Source organism: Homo sapiens, chromosome 13 (genome assembly GCF_000001405.40).
Source record: "Homo sapiens chromosome 13, GRCh38.p14 Primary Assembly".
Classification (NCBI taxonomy): Eukaryota; Metazoa; Chordata; class Mammalia; order Primates; family Hominidae; genus Homo; species Homo sapiens.
The window spans coordinates 101,367,608-101,390,202 of NC_000013.11; the positions used below are offsets into that span (position 1 = coordinate 101,367,608).

Consider the following 22,595-nt stretch of genomic DNA (forward strand, 5'->3'; position numbering starts at 1 on the left):
AATCTAAATATGGAGTAAAAATCAACTCTAATTGTGTAGGATTGAAACAAAACTATATAAATTAGTTTATCTTATTTTCTGTGTATATGTTGAAGGTTACATGTACATTTTCAAAAGTAGATACTGATTTAAAAGGTGAGATCATAAATATAGATGTGAAAAATCATCTTTATATGTAAAAACAATAATTTTATTTTAGGTTTCAGCTTCTTTGGCAGTTCATTATGGTCTTCAGAATAAAATGCCAACTTGTAAGCATGGTGGTGTCTTGATGTGGCGTCTCCTATTTCTCTGCTTTCACGGTTTGTCTTTTCCCTATGATGCTCCTTTCACTTTGAATGTTCTTACACAGGGAATTCTTTTTTTGACTTTTTTGAAATTTATTTTATTTTATTTTATTTTATTATTATTATACTTTAAGTTTTAGGGTACATGTGCACAATGTGCAGGTTAGTTACATATGTATACATGTGCCATGCTGGTGTGCTGTACCCATTAACTCATCATTTAGCATTAGGTATATCTCCTAAAGCTATCCCTCCCCCCTCCCCCCACCCCACAACAGTCCCCAGAGTGTGATGTTCTCCTTCCTGTATCCATGTGTTCTCATTGTTCAATTCCCACCTATGAGTGAGAATATGCGGTGTTTGGTTTTTTGTTCTTGCGATAGTTTACTGAGAATGATGATTTCCAATTTCATCCACGTCCCTACCAAGGACATGAACTCATCATTTTTTATGGCTGCATAGTATTCCATGGTGTATATGTGCCACATTTTCTTAATCCAGTCTATCATTGTTGGACATTTGGGTTGGTTCCAAGTCTTTGCTATTGTGAATAGTGCTGCAATAAACATACGTGTGCATGTGTCTTTATAGCAGCAAAAAAAGTCATAGTTTAGAGGCTACAAAAGGAAACAGAAAAGTTTAAAAATTTTCAAATCAATTAACATTTTCTGTTTTATTTTGAGTTTGGATATTTCTTGAGTCTCTAAGAGTAAAACTACATTTATGTCTGGGCTAATAGTAACGGTAAAATGGTGCTGACAGTTTTTCTGCTTATGTGTGGGGCTTTAAAATGCAGTAATATTGAACTGAAATTTTTTTTTAAAAATAAGGCTGGACATGGTGGCTCAGGCCTTTAATCCCAGCACTTTGGGAGGCTGAGGCAGGCAGATCTCTTGAGGTCAGGAGTTCGAGACCAGCCTGGCCAACATGATGAAGCCCTGTCTCTGCTAAAAATACAAAAATTACCCGGGTGTGGTGGCACACGCCTGTAGTCCCAGCTACTTGGGGGGCTGAAGCAGGAGAATCTCTTGAACCTGGGAGATGGATGTTTCAGTAAGCTGAGATCATGCCACTGCACTCCAGCCTGGGTGTCAGAGTGAGAGTCTGTCTCAAAAAAACAACAACAAAAAAGATATTATTGATAGATTCTTGAAATGAATTATCAAAGCTATAACAGTTGTGATTATGAGCAACATTACTACCATGTGGCTAGTTAAGCATTTTCTTCTTAAATAGTAAACAAAGAGTCACATAAAAAGAAGACAAAATAAATGTGTGTGTGTGTGTGTGTGTGTGTGTGTGTGTATGCTACTAGGCAGGTTTTACACATATGGGAAAGAGAAAAATGCAGCCATTTCACCATAATGGCTATGTCTCAGGTAACTAAGCATTCTGTCAACATTTATGAAATTTTTCATGGTGAACTTCATTTTTAGGATAAAGTAATGAGCTGGAGCTAATATTTAGATCACAAGGCATGTTTTCATGCATTTTTTCAGTATCATTCTTTTCTTGGTACCAAATACAGCGTGGAACTAGCAAAGAATACTTACTGAAGCAACTCTAGGGTCATGAGTTCAGAAGACATTCGTGTATCTGTTCTCAATTTCTGCGATCATTTATGTGCCAATATGAGCTTTCGTTTGCCAGCATAATGCCTGATCTTCTAGCTGCATTTACAAGTTTTATAACTCTCACATTCTGACTTGGTTTTAATAAAACGGTAATTTGAAGCCAGCCTCTGTACCCACTGCAGTACTACACAGCTGCTTTCTTATCCAGAAGATTTCCCTGTTCTTCATCTCCATATTGATTGTCTCCAACCCACACAATATCTTTTTCCATTTTCATATTCACTCATAGAACAATCTAGGCATATTCTACAGCCTACATACACTAAAAAAATAAATCCAACTACCTACAGATTTTCTTCCATGCATTTGTCTCTTCCCTCACCCACACAGTCAACTCCCTTACTCACCACTTGCTTCAATTTTCTTACTCCGTATATGAACTAATTCACTGCTTCTTTCTGCTTAAACTTTGTTTTTCTATTTTTTAGCCATTTCTCCTTTCCTGCTTTTAGCAACTTACTTTTCTCTGTTTCTTTTTTATTTCATCTTCTTTATCAATTTGTCATCATGTTAATATTATCTGTCTAAATAGAATATGTTCTCAACCATGCCTTCAATAAATAGTTACTAATTATTTATTCTGTGTTAGGATACTAGGTAGTAAGGATAAAAAGATGAATATAACACAATATCCTCTTTACCTTTCTCATACGTGTCCTCAAGGACCTTAGACAAAAATAGAAAAAAAAATAGCTATGGATGTGAGTCCTGGTTGTGGCAAGATGGACTACACCAAATTCAACTCCTTCCACTACAAACAAATAGATAGCATTAAAAACTCCGCATTTAGGCTCACAATACAAAACCTGCATTCCAAAATGTCAAAACATAAGAAGGAAAGCAGTAAATGAGTAGGAACAGAAGGAACATGAGTTGACATAGTGTTATGAATGGGAGCTAATGCCTGGGTTTTAATGCCCATGTGAGGCGGAAGACCAGGTCTTGAGCCCATGTAAAGCTGAAAGCTGGAAATATGACCCCATGTGTAAAGCCAGATTGTAATTTGAAAGACTTTCAGAGTGTGATATTGGCAAAGAGGTAGTCCAATAGACCAGTGAAGCACAACAGAGCCCCACAGGAACAGACCCACGTATAGACAGGGAATTAGTGAATGAGACAGGTGAAACTAAACTCAGTGGGTAATAGCACACAATAAATAGTGCAGGCACAATTGCTTAACCATATGAAAAATTAGATTTCTACTTCACACTGAGACATTTTAAGCAGTTTCAGTGGGTGTAACTGACATAACATAAACTGCACATACGAAAGTGTACAGTTTGATAAGTTTTGGCACATGTACAGAAGCACAGTCAAGATAATGAACATGTCAATAAACCCCAAAGGTTTCTTGAGGCCCCTTTGTAATCCCTTAATTCCCACCACAACCTTTATCACTAGGCAACTGCTGATTTCTTTTCTATCATTAAAGATAAGTTTGCATTTTCTAGAATTTTATGTAAATGGAATAATAGAACATGTCCTCTTTTTAAATCTGGCTTTATTCAGTCATCATAATTATTTTGAGATTTATCCAAGATGCTGTATACATCAATAGTTCATTATTTATTATTATTAAACAGTATTTATTATATGGATATACCATCATTAGTTTATCTATCTGTTGATGGAAATTTGGGTTGTCACCAGTTTGGAGTACTATGAATAAAGTTGCTGTGGGCATTCATGTGTAAATCTTTCTATGGACATACATTTTTATTTATTTTGGTTAAATACCTGGAGTGGAATAAATGAGATGTGGCAGGTGCCTGTCCAACTTTTTTTCTTTCTTTCATTTTTACTTCTTAGAGACTGGGTCTCACTCTATCACCCAGGCTGGAGTGCAGTGACGCAATCATAGCTCACTCTAGTCTCAAACTCCTGGGCTCAAGTGATCATCCCACCTCAGTCTCCCAAAGTGCTGAGATTACAGGTGTGTGCCACTGTACCCAGCTTGATCAACTCTTTTATTTTTATTTTTTTAAAAACTGCCAAACTGTGTTTTGAAGGAGTTGTAATATTTGCTGTAAAGTTGTGATATTTGTACCATCCTCTATTCCCCCAAAATAGCTTATAGGAGTTAGTTGCTTCTCATTGTTAATGTTGTATGCCACGCACTGATGCAGAGGACAAAATAAATTTGGTAGGCACCACTTGATTCACTTCACCTATTTAAAAAACATACAAAATCTCCAAGGTTTTGACAGTGGAATGAGAGTTGCTGATTAGAGCATCTGACCAGTTGGTCCACACTCTCTTACTACTGAGTTTCTTCTTCATTTACGCTCTTAGTACTGGGCTTAATTTCATCACCACCAGGCTGGGCTCAGGATTGTGCAGCCCATGCTCTAAAACTAAGAATTTGTCATGTGCTCCCTTTTACTGTCAATCCAGGAATGGTCTAAAGTACACGTAAGTAATTGTGGGAACAAATCAATTGATTAATAAGATAAAAGATGATTAAATAAAATAAATTATTTCAGAGTTACACATTACTTTAGAGTTATGATTACTGAAAAATTTGAAACGTCATGTTCTTGACCCATCATATACCCTGGCATCCCGAAGCTAATTAGGAAAAAAATTCAAAATTCATGACGATAAAAAGGTCAGCCCATCTGAAAGATACAATGACACGTTATGCGCCTAATTAAAGTTGAAAATTATAGAAAGCAAAAACTGACAAAAATAAGAGAGATTGAAAATTTCTGTCATGTCTAGAAAATTGAATAGTACTCTCTCAGCAATTGCTAGAACAACCCTGATTTTAAAAACCAAGAAGGATAGAAATACCCAGAACAAATTATCAGCCAACTTGACTTTGGTGACATTTATAGATATTATACTCAAAAACTGCAGATTTCACTTTTTTCTTTTCAAATTCTCATGGAATTTTCACCAATTCAGACCATATACTGGTCCTTAAAATGATTCCTAATGAATTTCAAAAGGCTGAAATTTCACAGGGACTATTGTCTGACCACAACAGAATAAAATTATGCACCCAAATAACATTTTTAGAAAATCTCATCCTTCTAAAAATGCACTTCTAAATAACCTACAGGTCAAAGGAGAAATCACATATATTAGAAGATATTTGAATTGAATAATAATAAAAATACAACATATCAACATTTTGGAAATGCAGCTAAAACAGTGCTTAGAGGCTAAAACAGTGCTTAGAGGAAAATTATATTTTTAAATTATTGTATTAGAAAAATGTTAAAAGATGTCTATATACCTTCATTTTATGAAAGATGAAAAAGAAAACAAAAACTAAAAAGCAGAAATAAGGAAATAATGAAGATAAAAAATCAACATGAAAAACAGACTAACAATAGAGAACATTAAATAGGGCAAAGATTCTTGTGTGTGTGTGAAAAGAATAATACAATTGAGAAGACATAAAAAAATGGAGAGAAAGGTACAAATTATCAATGTCAGGAAAAAATGGCTTATTACCACTATTCTACAGATGTTAAAAAGATAATCAGACATTCAAAAGATAATCAGAGGGCATTTGTATAAACATTATGCAATATTGACAAATTATAAAAATAGGTAAGCTCTTTGAAAAGCAAAATTTACCAACTTAACAGAACAAGAAAGATAACAACTCCATAGCTCTGTAAGTTGAATACATTTAATTTGTAATGAAAAACGTTCTCACAAAGAAAATTTCAGGCCCTGAGTTTTACTCATGAATTCTATCAAACATTTAAGAAAGAAAGAATATGAATCTTATATTAACCCTTGGAAACATGTTCCACTTGTTTTATGAGGACAGCATTACCCGGATTTCAAGACCCGGTAAAGATATTTCAATTTAAAAAACCTAAAAATAATGCTCCTTGTGAACAAAGATGCAATAATTTGTAACAAAAACATTAGCAAATCAAATCTTCCAATGTATAAAGAGGAATACAATATGACCAAATTAGCAATATACCAGAAATGCAAGATTGGTTTCTATTTAAAAAGTCAATCATGTAATTCATTACATTAACTGAACAAAACGGAAAAGCACTGGACAAAATTTAGCATACATCAATGATCAAAAACTCTTGGCACTATAGGAATTAAAGGTAACTTCCTCACTTTGAAAACTCTACAGCTCACATCCCACTTAACGGAAATACTGAGAGCTTCTCCTAAGATACCGATGTCCATTCCAACCACTAAGTTAAGACTACATCTTGACCCGTACCTCATAAGAAATACACAAATTAATTTGAGGAGGATCATTATTTTCAGGAAGTACCTCATAAGAAATATACAAGTTAATTTGAGAAGGATCATAATTTTCAGGAAGTAGAATAATAAATGCAATAACTTACTCTCTGGATTTAATTCTGACAGAAAAAGGAAATAGTTCCCTCAAGACATATATAATAAATATGTAAAGATTTTTATATTCACCAAAATCTCAATAAAGTGGTTAAAGTAGAGACATAATTTCAATAATAGGGGAAAATAATAATATGTCCAGAAAATGGTTATCAAAAAGTTATTTTCCAAGGCTATTTTGAACAATAATAATGAAGATTAGGAGTGGGGTTAGTAGCAACAGTATTTTTCTTTTAAAAATAATTTTGAATAGATTATTCACTCACATCATGCAAAAATAAAAGTTATATTAAAAAACAAGAAAAAATGAGATCTTTACTTCAACATAATACTATGGATAATCAAGGAAGGCATGGTATCTGTCCACACTTCTGTGAACCTAAGGTAAATTTCTTTCTTTTTTTTTTTTTTTTTTTTTGAGACGGAGTCTTGCTCTGTGGTCCAGGCTGGAGTGCAGTGGCGCGATCTCAGCTCACTGCAACCTCCGCCTTCTGGATTCAAGCAATTCTCTTGTCTCAGCCTCCCGATCACAGGTGCCTCCTGGCATTACAGGTGCCTGTGCCACCATGCCCGGCTAATTTTCATATTTTTAGTAGAGAGGGGGTTTCACCGTATTGGTCAGGCTGGTCTGGAACTCCTGACCTCAGGTTATCTACCCTCCTCAGCCTCCTAAAGTGCTGAGATTACAGGTGTGAGCCACTGTGCACAGCCCCCTCTGGTAAATTTCTAAGTAGGTATGAGATGCATGCCTTCTAAATAAAAATAAAATTAATTAAGGCCTTGACTAATAGATTATGCTTTACTGTTTAACATTTAACCAGTGAAATTATACTGATGTTTTGAAGTTACTGAATACATTCATATTTTCCTAGAAACTTGCACATGCCTCCTGGTCTGAAAACACGTGGAAACAAAATCTCTACCTTTTTGGAGTTGACATTCTTTGGGGTGGTGCAACAGCAAACAACTAAATTCACTTTTAGTTTTTAGAACATTATATAATTATTAGGAGTTGCATAATATACATATACTGTTTGTGCATGAATTAGAAATTCAATTATTAAATTTATTTCTGTGAGAGACTAATAATTAAATGACCATTATAAATGTGAAATAAACTCAGAATTAATTTAGTTACTTTGTCAGTAAAATAACATAGCCATGAGTTACTCATAGATGTTTTCCTTTCACACTCTTACAAGTTTAAATTTTGGTCTTCTTTATTGCTCTTTCCTTTTTTTTAACCATGTTATCTCTATTTTGGAGGATACACTTATGCCTACCACCTCAGCATGTAAGCGTGTTTACGTATCTCTTTATGACAACAAAATAATGACAGCTGGCATACAGTGAATGCCTTTACTATGTGCTGGTTACTTTGCTTGTCTTTACATTCATTCCCTCATTTGCTCTTCCTGATGCCTCTAGAAAGTATGTCCTGTTATTAATCTACTTCATTGAGGAGTAACCTAAATAATTTATGCAAACTCATAAAATAAAGTGTTGGAATTGAGCCAAGCTTATCATGATGTCTATACTCACAGAGATATTCACTTATTTGTGGTTTATTTACTTTGTATATATACAAGTATATAGACTTTATGAAAAAGAAATCCTCCAACTGCAGAAAACACAACATAACCCTTTCAATGTTTTTAAACTCAATGATCCTTATATACCCAATTGGTTTGTAAGTAGATATTGATATATTAAAAATATTTTGAAGATGAATGGCTGCTTGTAATCTCTTTTTGAATTTTACAAAGTGCTTTAAATCTAATTTCTAAGATTTGAATCAAGATTTTTCAATCGGTAATTTATGGATGAGTTCTTCATTTATAAATAGACAAATTCCTATGTGAAGATTTGAATATAAGGTATAAAATCAATTGTATTATCCCCAATCCCTGCTGCCCTGAAATCTGGCATAGTCATATCTGTTGCACTTCTGGGTTGTGCTTGGAACCCCAAACTCTATATCTAGCTAACACCTAATGGGACACTTCTGGACCATCCAGGGGCCAACATCCCACTCTGCTCTCTCCTGCCATCACATCCCTGGAGTTGTATATTAACAATGATCAGCCAAGTAGAAGAGGCAGGTGCTCTATTGCATAATACATAATAGGTAATTAAAGTACATACATTCTATCTTACCCACCAACCCTACAACAGTCAAATGCAACAGATAATAGTGTTTAGTCTAGAAATGATGTTATAATCATTTAGGAAACTATTTTAGGGAATGATGACAAAAGTAAATAATAATAAAAATGAGCTTTTTTTCCCGAACATGTAACTCATTCTAATATGAAAAGCTTCCACAGTGAAGCTCTAGGTTTATGTTATTATGTTAGCACACTCCCCATTTTGCCACACTAAGGTTTCTAAATGTACACTTTGCATTTGCTTAATCTACTTTTCCACCAGGTTACATTTTCCAATCTGTCCTGTCTTGAATACTTGTCTTTAAAAATTGGACAAAACAAAAATTAGTCGGGCATGGTGGTGCACGCCTGTAGTCCCAGCTACTTGGCAGGCTGAGGAAGGAGAAACGCTTGAACCCGGGATGCGGAGGTTGCAGTGAACCGAGATCGCGCCACTGCACCCCAGCCTCATGACAGAGCGAGACTCCATCTCAAAAATAAAATAAAATAAAATAAAATAAAAACTGGACAAAAACAATACCGAGGAAGCAGAGACACAGAACAAAGAGGACATAAGCACTGTTTAAAAAATCTGACATAGAGGTTATTCTTATGAAAATTACAGAGATATCTTTGTTAATCAACTAGATTAAAATGCAGTTAATAGATAAACTTACCCTGGCTTTGTGTCATTTACAACACAGTGATAAGTAAATGTTCCAAACATCTGAACTCCTAAAATTCCATAAAGAAGTAGAAAGAAAAGTAGAAAAATGGAAACACTCCATATTTGTTCTCCCGATCGCCTAGAGAAACAAAAGTAGGTAAAGTACATAAAACTTACAAAAAACTTCATAAACTTTTCCTCTTAACTTATTGTAAAGCAGCGCTCACTTTAAAATATTTGTAATTCTGGTCCTTGGCAGTTCAAATCGGAAATAAATCCGGAATGCTCGGATCATAATCAGTGGCCGTGGAATCCGCAACATGCCCCAAGGTGACATCTGATCAACTATATCAGCAATTTCAAACACCTACAAATTAAAAGATGGGTAAATGAGGTTGGATTTTCCCTTAGCATTGCTTATAGTCATGGAACATACAGATGTTAGCAGCATAAGTAGGTGCACCTCTACTCTGAATTTAGCCATACATTATTTTCCACCAAAATCCACTTTCTTTTGAGTATATTTTGAAGCTATAGCTATCTTAACAGAAACAAATACATAAACTAATAAGAACAACATTAATCTTATTCATTTCCTGTCTCGTTCGTTAAGACAGTTTTTAGTTACAAGAAGTGCCAACTTAGAATATATAGTAAGTATGCTGTCTTTCTTGTTAATAACGTTCTTTAGTGGAGGCTTTTGAATATCTAGAAAATAAAGTAATAGAGAAAGGGTTAAAATATTAAAAAAGAATTGCACTATTTACTAACAGGCAAAATAATAATTTGAAATGTTTGTCAATCACATAATAGTTATTAAATGGAAAAGAACACATTAATGTGAGAAACAATTCAACCTGACAAAGCTGATTAAAAAAATATATGAGTGATGAAATTAAATTGTGGGAGAGGTGAACTTTATAAAAATATGAAAGGAAAGCTTATCAACAAACACTATGATGAGTTGGCAGAATGGGCTGTGAAGTTTTGAATTCTGAATTTTTAAATAAAGAATAGATGATTGAACTCTAGAGACCTGTACAACATTGTACCTACAGTTAACAATAATTTATTGTACAATTAAAATTCATTAAAACAGTAGATTTCATGTTAGGCATTCTTACCACAACCAAATCAAAACAGATCAAATCAAATCAATAGAATATAGTAACTTTAGTTGAATTAAAAGGCAAAATCATGTCTGAATGAATGCACAGAAATTAATTCTACTTATTTTCCAATCAAATCTGTCCTGTAAGTCTTTTTAATGTACGTTCCCCATCACTTATAATAAAGCATTTAATATTTGCAATATAGTATTTTATGTTGGCTAATACCTATCCAAATATGGGGAGACTAGACTTTAAATTTTTAAGTTCAATTTTTTATTTACAAATACAGAAATATTGCTCCACATTGTTTCCTTCATTTCAGGGAATATATTTTATATCTGATTAACAGCTAATAATTTTCTATAGTATTGATTTTCGTTTCTGATTGAGAAATAATTCACAATCATAACTGACAATAATTAAGATATTACAGCTATTGACTTTTCTAACAATAAAATGTTTGAGGTGATATAAAATTGCTAATTATGCAGATTTGATCATTACACCTTGTATACATCAAATATCACTCAGTCCCCCATAAATACATACAAGTATTACGTATCAATTAAAATTAATTTTTCAAATTTCAAATATGTCAGAGTAAACAGACTAATCACATCTGTTAAAATAAAAATAAAATAAAATGTTGTAGGCAATTACACAATCACATTTGATATATATTTTGTAATATTTCTATTTAGACTTTTAATGCAAAATAATTCCCATTTTGGAGAATACCTGCTTGTAATTTAAAAAATATTTAATTACCTGTAGCACCAAAGAAACCCAAAGGCAAAAGACCATAAATCCATCAAAAACACACCAGCGATCTTTCACATAGGAACTATCCCCCTAAAAATAAATTTTACATGGCATTATTAGGCAAAGCAAATATTTTAAAGAACAATCTGTGGAGGAAAATGTCAAATATTATTTCAATAAAAGCTATCTACAATTTTTGTATCATAATAGAACAGACTTTCACAAGGAATAAGTTTAGCATTTTAAGTAGCATTACTTATAAGAAAAATAATTTATAAAAGACAAGCAACTTTGCAGGTAAAATATTTAATTCATGCAAAGGGAAAATATCACTATTTTTTTTTTCTCAGCCACACAAATTCTAACACTTAAAGAACCAGAAGCCATTGTTCCAAATATGCTATGTAGGTCCTAAGCCAGCTCCCTGCCTACAAGAACCAAGAGTGCACTGTGGTCAACAGGAAGGTCTTTAAAACTGCTAGGTTTAGCACCGTTAGTAGGAAAACTAACAAGGCATTCACTTCAAGCTGATTAAAAAGTGAAGAAGAAAAAAAGCTCATCATCACTGGTCATTAGAGAAATGCAAATCAAAACCACAATGAGATACCATCTCACGCCAGTTTAATGGTGATCATTAAAAAGTCAGGAAACAACAGATGCTGGAGAGGATGTAGAGAACTAGGAACACTTTTACACTGTTGGTGGGAGTGTAAATTAGTTCAACCATTGTGAAAGACAGTGTGGCGATTCCTCAAGGATCTAGAACCAGAAATACCATTTGACCTAGCAATCCCATTACTGGATATATACCCAAAGGATTACAAATCATTCTAGTACAAGGACACATGCACACGTATGTTTATTGCAGCACTATTCACAATAGCAAAGACTTGGAATCAATCCAAATGCCCATCAATGATAAACTGGTTAAAGAAAATGTGGCCCAATATACTATGGAATACTATGCAGCCATAAAAAAGGATGAGTTCATGTTTCTTGAAGGGACATGGATGAAGCTGGAAACCATCACTCTCAGCCAAACTAACACAGGAACAGAAAACCAAACACTGCATGTTCTCACTCATAAGTGGGAGTCGAACAATGAGAACATATGGACACAGGGAGGGGAACATCACACACGGGCCTGTCAAGAGGTGGGGGGCTAGGAGAGGGATAGCATTAGGAGAAACACCTAACGTAGATGACAGGTTGATGGTGCAGCAAACCACCATGGCACGTGTATACCTGTGTAACAAAACTGCACATTCTGCAAATTTTTTATAATAATAAAAAAAGACCCAACTATCCTAACTATATATGCACTTTACACAGGAACACCCAAATTTATAAAGCAAGTTCTTAGAGATGTTCAAAGAGACTTACAGTTCTGCATAATAATATTGGGAGATTTCAACACCTTGACAGTATTAGATCATTAAGGCAAAAACCCCCAAAGATCAAATGCACCTGATAGACATCTACAGAACTTTCCACTGTATATATGTGGATGTATATATACACATATATACATTTTTTCTCATTGTCACATAGCACATATTCTAACATCAACACTTAATCAGACATAAAACATCTCTCAGAAAATGCAAAATAACTGAAATCAAAACAACCATTCTCTTGGACCACAGTGTAATAAAAATAGAATTCAAGACTAACAAAAAAAAGTGAAGAAGAAACTTGTCTTAATTTGCAAGGAAAACACATATTGACTTTAATTTTAATTGGGATTGCATATGTAAAAGAAAGATAAAGATGTACCACTTTCATTTTTTAATAGGGTATCTATTCTGACATTAGAATGCTTTAATAACATGGGAATTTAAAAAATGCCTTTGGAATAATAAAACAGAAAACTTCATGAGGTTAAAAATTAGAAACTTTAAACAGAAAAGCCTTTGCTTTTTTAGGACTATCCCATTAAATCATGAATTCTGTAATCATCCATGTAAGTCAATTCTGAATTCAGTCACATATATCATTACCTCCTCTGATTAAACCTGCTAGGGAAATGAAAATAGAAATAAAATGTCAAGATTTCAAATCAAATGATAAAACATGTTGCAGGATATTGACATAAGCCTCTACCTTTAGTAACAAATAAGTATCCAAATATCTCCTTGAGAGGTTTCTGGAAATAGTTTATGGTGTATGCAAAACTAACACTATGATAAAACACTTAATGGAAGTTATTTGACCCAAAAATGAAGTATAAACTCAACTTAATGAACACTGGGTAAGTGCCTGTTTTACATTAGAGGATATATAATGCCTAGCTAACACACACACACACACACACACACACACACACACACCACCATCACCACCACCAACAACCAAAAGAACAGTCTTGTAGAAAAACAGATGTGAACACATCCAGCTAGTATATAAAGCAAAATAACTTAAAGCTATAAACATGGTGGGAAAGATGGTAAGATTAATTCTATGGGGAGTTTAGAGAAACCAATGTTAATTCCCAAATGAACGGACAAATAATGTTTTCAGGGGCAAGGTAATCAACCAAACTTGGTGACTCCTGGGTTTGGGAAGACTCACAAAAGAGATATGAAAGCAAACTCTGAAGCTTGGCTCTGGGTGACAAGAAGGACAATGGCCTTATTAAATTGTGTGATTATCATCATATGAAGATTTATACCCAAGGAAGAGAAAAGCTGCATCTTAGGATGCTACCGATGCTACTGGTGTTTATGTGCTACACATAAACGCATCACAAAGGTTACATATATAACAAATAACGTAAGGATTTTTTATAGTCATCTTCAACTTTTTTTATAGTTGCATTTTTTAATAGTTGTGTTAAAGATCTCACAGAGGATCTTTAACTATAAGCATCATACTTGCCTCGTATATTGCACAGTTGAAAATGTAAATTAATTATAATCTAAATACAGATAACATAGCCCATATAAAATTGACTTTTTCTGAGCCTAAATTTGATTAATACCCAAGAAGGTAATAGAAGATGAATTATTTAAAGTTGTGCCCTTCATTCCTTCCTCCCTCTCTCCCTCCCTTACTTCCTTCTTTCCCTCAGCTCATAAGCATCCCTTTAACCTAGGCAGTGTTCAAGAACTAGGGATACGAGGGTGAACAAAACAAACGCTTCTGTCTTTAAGCAATTTACATTCTGAATGAAATAAAATATAAAATATTCATTATGTTATATGTTGACAAGTGTCATGAAGAAAAATAAAAGTGTATATTTTCAAATGGACTTTTATTAAATGAACAAATGTTTTTTACTTGTGTGTTAGGGAAAAAAAAAGAAAAGTATCACTTCATCTTTATTTTAAGAACTAGGCAGAGTTGTCACTTGTTTTTAAAAAGGCAAAGAATTCCAAAAACGAAAACTGAAATTTTATGGGACTCAGCAGAGAACTATGTTAAAATTGGAGCAATGAATGAGTACATATTAGGCAGGAAAAGAGTAATTATAGATCGTTGAGTACACGGGCACCCAAATAGGATGAATTTATATTGTACTTTTTCAAAACAGTATTACTATTTTATTTCATTTTTGTCATTAACAATGTTATATGTAGCAGCACTACAATTACCCTCTTTTTAATTGCTCATAATTTGCTTTAGAAATGAATTAAACTCGGTGGAACATTGAATGAGAGTTCACCATTACAATGAGGTACATTTACAATGTTAACAAATGAGGATAAACAGTGATACTTCCCTTTGTGTTATGGGGAGGGGGGCGGGCAAGTGAATGGCCAGGAGCCAAAGGTGGAGGAGAGACATGCTTTTCACAATGTATTCTGATATGTTTTTGGACCAATGCTTACATGTTAAATTTTTAAAAATAGCTTTTCAATTTTTTTTTTAAGTTGGACATTTTAGCTTTAACAAAATCACTTCTCCAGTTGGCAAAAATAAATTTAAATTTAAAAATTGGGGCCTCACCAATTCAGAATGAAAAGCTATCAATAACAGATGTGACTGAATTTTTGTTTCTGATTTCTTTGCTAAGGAAATTAATGTTGTAAAACTGGCCCACACTACATTTCAAACTATATAAAATAATGAATTATTTTAAATCATTTTAGAAGCACCAGTGGTGATCAGAAATTAGAAGCATACAAACATCTTAATTTCGAACGACCTCAGTTATAAAAACTGGCTTAGCAAAAATTCTACCATGTAATGTAGAAAACTTTCTTTTCCATAGGAAGTAATTTAATTGTTTTGTTTGGAATGTCTTCTGCCTTGGACTTTTCAGAAACATATAGTGGCATTCCTGTGTCACCAACAAGCTCAGCACATGCTAGATGGTATGCAGTGGTCAATCAGAATTGACCTCTTTTTATTTTCCCAGTGAAGTATGGAAATAATCCTCTGGGCATAAGTTTCATGTATTACTTTTTGGCTCATGTTTCCAAGAGTCATTCAATATTCATAAACATCTTTTATAAGCAGAGTTATGACCCAAGATACAAAGGCCAGCAACCCTCAGCATTTTTCCATTTGTAAAAAATCTTTGGCTTTTTAATGTTCATTGTTTTTCATGCTGTCCATCTTCCCGAAAAATTCTGCCAAGTCTGTGCCAACCTTTCCTTCCAGAGTGATCTGACTACAGCCTCCTCTGATCACCTTAACTCAGGCGTCATGCAACAACTGACAACTCAGCTCATGTATATAAATAATGTGCATCTTGTGTTACTCGCAGAATATGCCTTTGTAATCCATATTGGTTATTTCATGAATTTATATTTGGTCTCTCCAACTTATTGGATCTGATGGTGAAGTTTGAGTTTCCTACTTAAATCTTCTCTGAACGTATTCTCTGGAGTTACATTAGAAAAAAAAAAAGAAGTCTATCTCTCATGGTAAATGTTTGAGTGTATTCTGAAGATGAGTAACACCCTGAGACTTTAAGTCGGATAATTTAAGGTTGTGTTTGCAGCACCCAGTACAGTGGGTGACATATAGCAGATATTAAATGAATGATGAGATAGGTACATGAACCATGTCTTAGATACAGTGTATACAGCAAGATGTCAGTTAATATACAATGTATACAGCAAGATGTCAGTTAATATTTCTTAATGAATGCATCCATCCATCCATCTATTCACTGAAATTATTTGTATGCTTCTAAAAAGAAATTATTCCTTTCTGGCTCCTTTGTAACCATGAAAGATCACAGACGAGATTATGAGATGACTTATGGATACTTCCTGGATTAGCATAGTTTGCATAAGCAGAACTAAACATGCCATGCAAATACAGTTACGGTTTACATATTTTATACATTACCATGATTGTAAATACAATTGAACTGGTAGGAATTAAAATTACTATCATATTAATCATTATCAATAATTGCTAAGGCACAATAAGTTTATAATACTTTTAAATAAGTAGAATGCAGACCTTGAAATCTGACACTTTGCAATACAATCTTGGATTATGTTTTGTATCTGGCACATTTATCAAATTATCGTCAGAAGCCCTAGCCATAGTAGTCAAAGTTGCTTTGATTCCATTTATAAGCATGGCCAGATCCTTTAAAATTCTACTGTATTGAGGCTCAAGTTATAATATTTGCAACCCAATTCTAAAATATGCAACCAGAAGCTAACACATATGAATGCCCAGTGGTACTCAAGATATTTTAACACCTTAAATATGAAAAAATGTTTTAATTTGTTTGTTCCATCAACAAGAAATGGAGGGCAGAGAGTGCTTGAGCTATGCGCAAAAATCAGCACTTTGGTGGCTGAGGAGAGGAGTGCTTCAAGAGCTGTATATGTCAATTTTTATAACGGTAAACACTTGAAGACTGCCAATCAACGATAAGGTAAGAAAGTAACAACATATCATGCAAGTATTTAACAAGCAGAAAAAGGAAACACATTTATAGGGATATATTTTGCAGTGACAAAATGATATGCACTGGTACAGTTTCATGAGAACAGGATTTATTGTCCCAAGTTTCCAGGGCCCATCTGTCACTATGTCTTAGCATCATTATATATTACTTCAACAGTGCTTAAAGGATGCATGCTACTTTTACTTGTATCTATTGCCAGATGTGAAATAGACAACTGAGAATGGTCTAAAGAACTCACAGTCTGCAATGCATGAAGTGCTCTGCAACAACACAGACATGTATCATCCAAATAGTTTCTTTTCACCTCTAGGGATTTGGTGAGTGAAAATGCTTCCAGCAAGAGGAATTAGGGAGGCAATTAGAAGAAAGCTGTTGAGGAGTGGGAATTGATGGGCAAGCACCTTCAAGCTTTGGGAATATTATAAAAGATGGAAAACACTTAAAACAAATGCATTCCTCCAACAAAAATTGTTAAAGACATTTCTTGCTGGAAGGACTTTCTGCTTCAGTTTCTCTCCCCAGCTGTGCATCCAGCATGTAACTTCCAGAGTGAACTATTCAAACACAAATCAGATTGTACCACTCTCAGATGAAAATCCTCCATGCATCTTTACTGACCACAGAACAAAGTCAGAACTCCTTGCAGAGCCTGCTGGGCCCTCCATGATGCAGCCAGGTCTAGTTTCACAAACTCCTCTCCAGCTGCCTCCTGTGCACAGCCCATCTGCCACTTCTGACTACTTTGAGCTCGGCATGTACCTTGCTGTTCCACTCCTTTGTGCCTCATATTCCTTTTCTTTCTCCGTGAGATCCCTTACTTCTATCTTACTTCCATCACCCCTGCCACAGACCACACTTACTCATCCTTCAAGGCATTGTTTCACGTTCCTCTTTCTTCAAGACTTCTCTGATATCCCCAAGCAGACAGTTTTGGTCCTTTTCTTTTTTATGCCTGCCTCCCCCATAGCTTTTACAGACCACTATTAAAGCCCTTTCATAAAAAAAAAGAAGGTCCCTCTCTATGTAGATTCTCATTATACTAATATTTGCTATTTATATCTGCAAAAAATGTTTGCCCCAGAATCACTATGAACCTAGAAGAACCACCATAATGACTTTGCACGTGTGCCAATGGAGACATTAAAGTTGCCAGTGGATTCTGCCAAAGGTATAGTGTGCAATGCAGGTGTATCTCTGTTGTTCACCTTTTGGGCCCAATCTTGTACCAGCATTGTTTACCTACTTAACTATTTAATACTAGTGCATTGATATCTTCCTCTGTCTTACCTTTCCCCTGAAAGTTAGCCTTTCAAAAGATCCAAAAATTGAGTTTACCAACCCAGGCCCATTTTATCATATTTCACCAATTCTAAAACACACCCTACCCTGCTCCAACACAGTTGCACAATTCTGGATTCAGCATGCATCTTCTAATTGATGCTTCAATTAAAATCTTACATCTTACAGTCAAAGTATAATTAGAAGCCTTTATTATTTCTTAGAGACCCGTGAATCTGTGAAGTGATGCCATTTTTTTTTACAATTGATGATATCAACAATTCAATAAAATATGGTGGATGGTACTTTAATGTATTTTTTAAATTTACTTAATAACAGAAACTTCCTGTTATTGTTGGGCACATATAAAACATCCACTGTGGTTTGATTAGTGCAAATAATTGGGTAAGGGATGTTTTAAATGCTTTTTATTTTGCAGAAATATGCAGGTTGACTTGTATAGGTATTAGATGGTAATGCAGTGATATTTGGAGAAATCAGTCGAGCTCCCCTAATACATTATTAGTTTTCCCATATAAATTAGTGAAAGAGAAGTGCCTATTTTCTGAAAATATGCTATCCACCATGTTTTCAGAAATATATTGGATGTTGAAAATGAAGAGTGCCTGTATGTGCTAAGTCTGTCCCACAGAGTGAACCAGGTTTTCTCTGAGGACAGGAGCTCTGCTTGGTTTTGTCTGTTTCCCTTCTCCAAGGACAGAGATGAGCTCATTGTAAGTGTTCAATAAATGGTTGCTGGATGACTAAAGGAAAACTTGGAAACTGTACTTGGGTTTAAGAATATAACTCATTCTTATATTACATTTATATCTTAAATATCTTAAACATTTTCATATCTTACATATTTTATATTTATATTTATACATATTTTAATATATTTGGCAAATTACTAGGTCAATAAACTTAGTAGGCAATGCTAGGAAGCCACAGCTTTGACACGTTTGTTTTGAAAAAATAAAGTTTCTGGGTTTGGTTTGTCGTGCATAATTTTATAAACTAGGTATCATTGGATAACACTACTTTAACGATTAGGTATGACTCTTAGGTACACCATAACATTGCCAAAATTGGCTAGGTATAATTTTAAAGAACTGTGCATGACAGCTGGGCAAAAATACATTGGTTTGCTTCTATAAATATTTTCTTATGGACTAACATACTTTTATGCATGGAAAAGACTCTTTAAAAAATAACAGGTTGGCCAGGCGCGGTGGCTCACGCCTGTAATCCCAGCACTTTGGGAGGCCGAGGCGGGTGGATCATGAGGTCAGGAGATCGAGACCATCCTGGCTAACAAGGTGAAACCCCGTCTCTACTAAAAATACAAAAAATTAGCCGGGCGCGGTGGCGGGCGCCTGTAGTCCCAGCTACTCGGGAGGCTGAGGCAGGAGAATGGCGTGAACCCGGGAAGCGGAGCTTGCAGTGAGCCGAGATTGCGCCACTGCAGTCCGCAGTCCGGCCTGGGCGACAGAGCGAGACTCCGTCTCAAAAAAAAAAAAAAAAAAAAAAAAAAACAGGTTAGCATTTCGCAAATCACTGGCATATGTGTACATCAACTCACACACACTTTTCCACCCAGAACACATGGCTAACAGGTACTGCTCACTCAATAACTAAATTTGACTATTCCTTAGAAATATTTTAGATGGAAATCAGTGAATATTAAACATTTCATATTTGCACAACTCTGTTCCAAACAATGTGAAAACTTACTATGAAAAGTGTAACCTGAAGATTAAAATAGAACATGTATATTCATAACGTTCCTATTTATGTATGAAAAAATACAAGCTTAAATGTTAGTGAGAAAATGCAGCACATATTTGCAAATTATTCTGGGTGAAGGGACTAAAGAATTGAGAGATAACTGCAGTGCTATTGGCAAATGTATTAAGGTAGAAAAAGTATGAAAAATGATGAGGTTTTCAGCAGACAAGTGCTTAACAAAAGTTTTAAAAATTATGGTAGAGTTGAAGAAAGCATAGTAACTCAAACTTGAGTAATATGAGAGGTCCCCTGAAAGGTATAGAACTTCGATGTGACAGTGTGTTTTTATTATGATGTAACTTAAACACCTACAATATGTACAAATTTCTCATGTAAGTATAAAAGCAAAACAAATTTACAAATACAAAAATGCAAAGCTAATAAAATATAAATTAGGAACATACATTTAATGTGACAAAGGACATTTTGCTAAAATAAAGTCTTATTAAAAGTTTAAGTTTTGAATATAAGAAAATAATATCAAGCCCAATATACTCTTTGAGCTGTATCTGTTATGACATGCATGTTTGAAGAAGTCTGTAGTATAAAAATAATAAAACTGTGGCTTAGATTTAATATCATGAAAATGACAGTACTTACTGATATAATTATTACCCTCTAACAATAATAGAGGCCATGATGGTAAAAATTTAGTGAGTTGATACATTTAAAGCTTGGTTCAGGATAAACAGATTTCATATTTAACTATATTTAACTAAAACGTTAGCTAGCATTTAAACATAGAATACCAGTTTTACTGAGCTATGAAGTTGAGCTGACTACTTCAAGATAATGTTAACAGTGCAATATTACTAAAATTGCATTACAGTTGTATTTGATCCAATTATTTCTGAATGAAAACCAGAAAACCTTATTTGATTTTCATTTTAAATTTCACCTCTTACAGATTGAAAATAAAAAAAAAAATTTTGGTTGTAGTAAATAGCTCATCACCCAAATGTTGATGGAAATGTGAAAATACTGGAAATGGCTAATTTACAGCATTTTGAAAACGATTTGGTCCTAAGTCATTTCTTTCTCTTTTAACTATTGATTCAACTTCTAACATTTACATTATTAAAACTTGTGTTCTCTCACTGCTCTGTTCACTTGGAATGAGTATATAATTTATATATTAAGTATGCCTCTGTTCTTTTTATCATTAGACTGTGACAACTAGCAGAATGCCTACTATCATTTTAGTGATGTGAAATCCAAGTCTTTATTTAATGACTTAAAAAAACAAAAGTTTTCTTGTAGGAACATGTCACTTATTTGTTTCATTCAAATGGAACCCTTAAGAAGTCAACACATGGCAATTTCAATCATAAAATGCTTCACCCAGAATATTCAGATCTTTCAATGCATGGGCAAAGGTTGCCATGGCCCCAATAACCACTACACACAAGTGACAGGGCCATTCATGGCCCTCTAGTGAGCTAGGGCCGGGCAACTACACAGAATGTGAGCTAGGGCCGGGCAACGTCCAGGGGAGTACTGTGAATAACAGAGATGTTAGCATTCTCCCAAGACCAACTTTCTCCCAAGATGGCCTCCTGAGACAGGTTCCAGTTTTCTGAACCTATGCTTATCTAAACCTAGTGCTTATAAAAACTAGCCTAGCCACATTGTGGAAGATACAGACAATTTTGGAATCATCCTGAAATCTGTTCATTGAAGCTATGGAGGATGCCCACCTCTTCCATAAACCAGTAGATTTCCAAAACCCCAAAATCACTAATAAATACGTGTGGAATGCTGAGCAGATATCTCAGAAGGTGAACCTTAAAATAAATGGCAACATTTGTAGAAATGTAAACTGGTAGGCTGCAAGTTGCAGGTTAATGTAAAACAAAGGAACAAAACAAAAACAAATGACTACCAATGTCCCCAAGAAACTGCAGAAAGATCAGAGGCAATGGAATATTAGAAACTCCAAAGGACACCCAACAAAAACCCTTTCCAGACCACAGCCCCATGTTTAGAATGGCAATTCAGTAGGGCAGGGACACTGGGGCCAGTGGGTAAGAAATATTCGATAATTGGGCCAGCAGTCCAGAGGCAGCAGAGCTCAGAACCTGACGGTCGGTACACAGAAAAGCTCCATGTTTACCCATCAGGATAACAACAGTGGAGGGACCCCTCGTACTGACAATATGCAGAGGCTACTCTACCCAATGTGTGGGAAAAACTCCCATTTCATGTGAACAACAAGAAGAACAACCAAACAAACGGATCATGATGAAGCCCTTGTAAAAACATTACAGAATAAGATGAATGAAATAATACATAGGCCGGGCATGGTGGCTCACGCCTGGAATCCCAGAACCTTGGGAGGCCAAGGCAGGCGAATCACCTGAGGTCAGGAGTCTGAGACTGGCCTGGCCAACGTGGTGAAACCCCATCTCTACTAAAAATACAAAAATTAGCCGGGTGTGGTGGTGCGTGCCTGTAATCTCAGCTACTCAGGAGGCTGAGGCAGGAGAATTGCTTGAACCCAGAAGGTGGAGGTTGCAGTGAGCCAAGATTGCACCACTGTACTCCGGCCTGGGTGACAGAGCGAGGTTCTGTCTCAAAAAATAATAAAAGTAAAAATAAAATAATACATAAACGTATAAACAGAAAATAAACACTCAAAGCAGATGAAGACTATAATCGAATATGACAACATGACCAAAAGAAATTTAAACAAATA

At 34.8% G+C, this 22,595-nt stretch overlaps 1 protein-coding gene across 8 annotated transcripts in view; it reads right to left on the reverse strand.

The window, feature by feature from the left end:
• NALCN (sodium leak channel, non-selective) overlaps positions 1-22,595 on the reverse strand; it is a 363,404-nt gene that overhangs the window by 313,832 nt on the left and 26,977 nt on the right. For all 8 annotated transcript variants that reach the window (XM_011521069.3, XM_011521067.3, XM_024449336.2 and 5 more), the window contains exons 4-6: positions 10,963-11,046; positions 9,310-9,449; positions 9,093-9,221 (exon numbers count right to left, since the gene is read on the reverse strand). In XM_011521069.3, the coding sequence (XP_011519371.1) occupies positions 9,093-9,221; positions 9,310-9,449; positions 10,963-11,046 (353 nt within the window). The remainder of the gene's footprint in view (positions 1-9,092; positions 9,222-9,309; positions 9,450-10,962; positions 11,047-22,595) is intronic.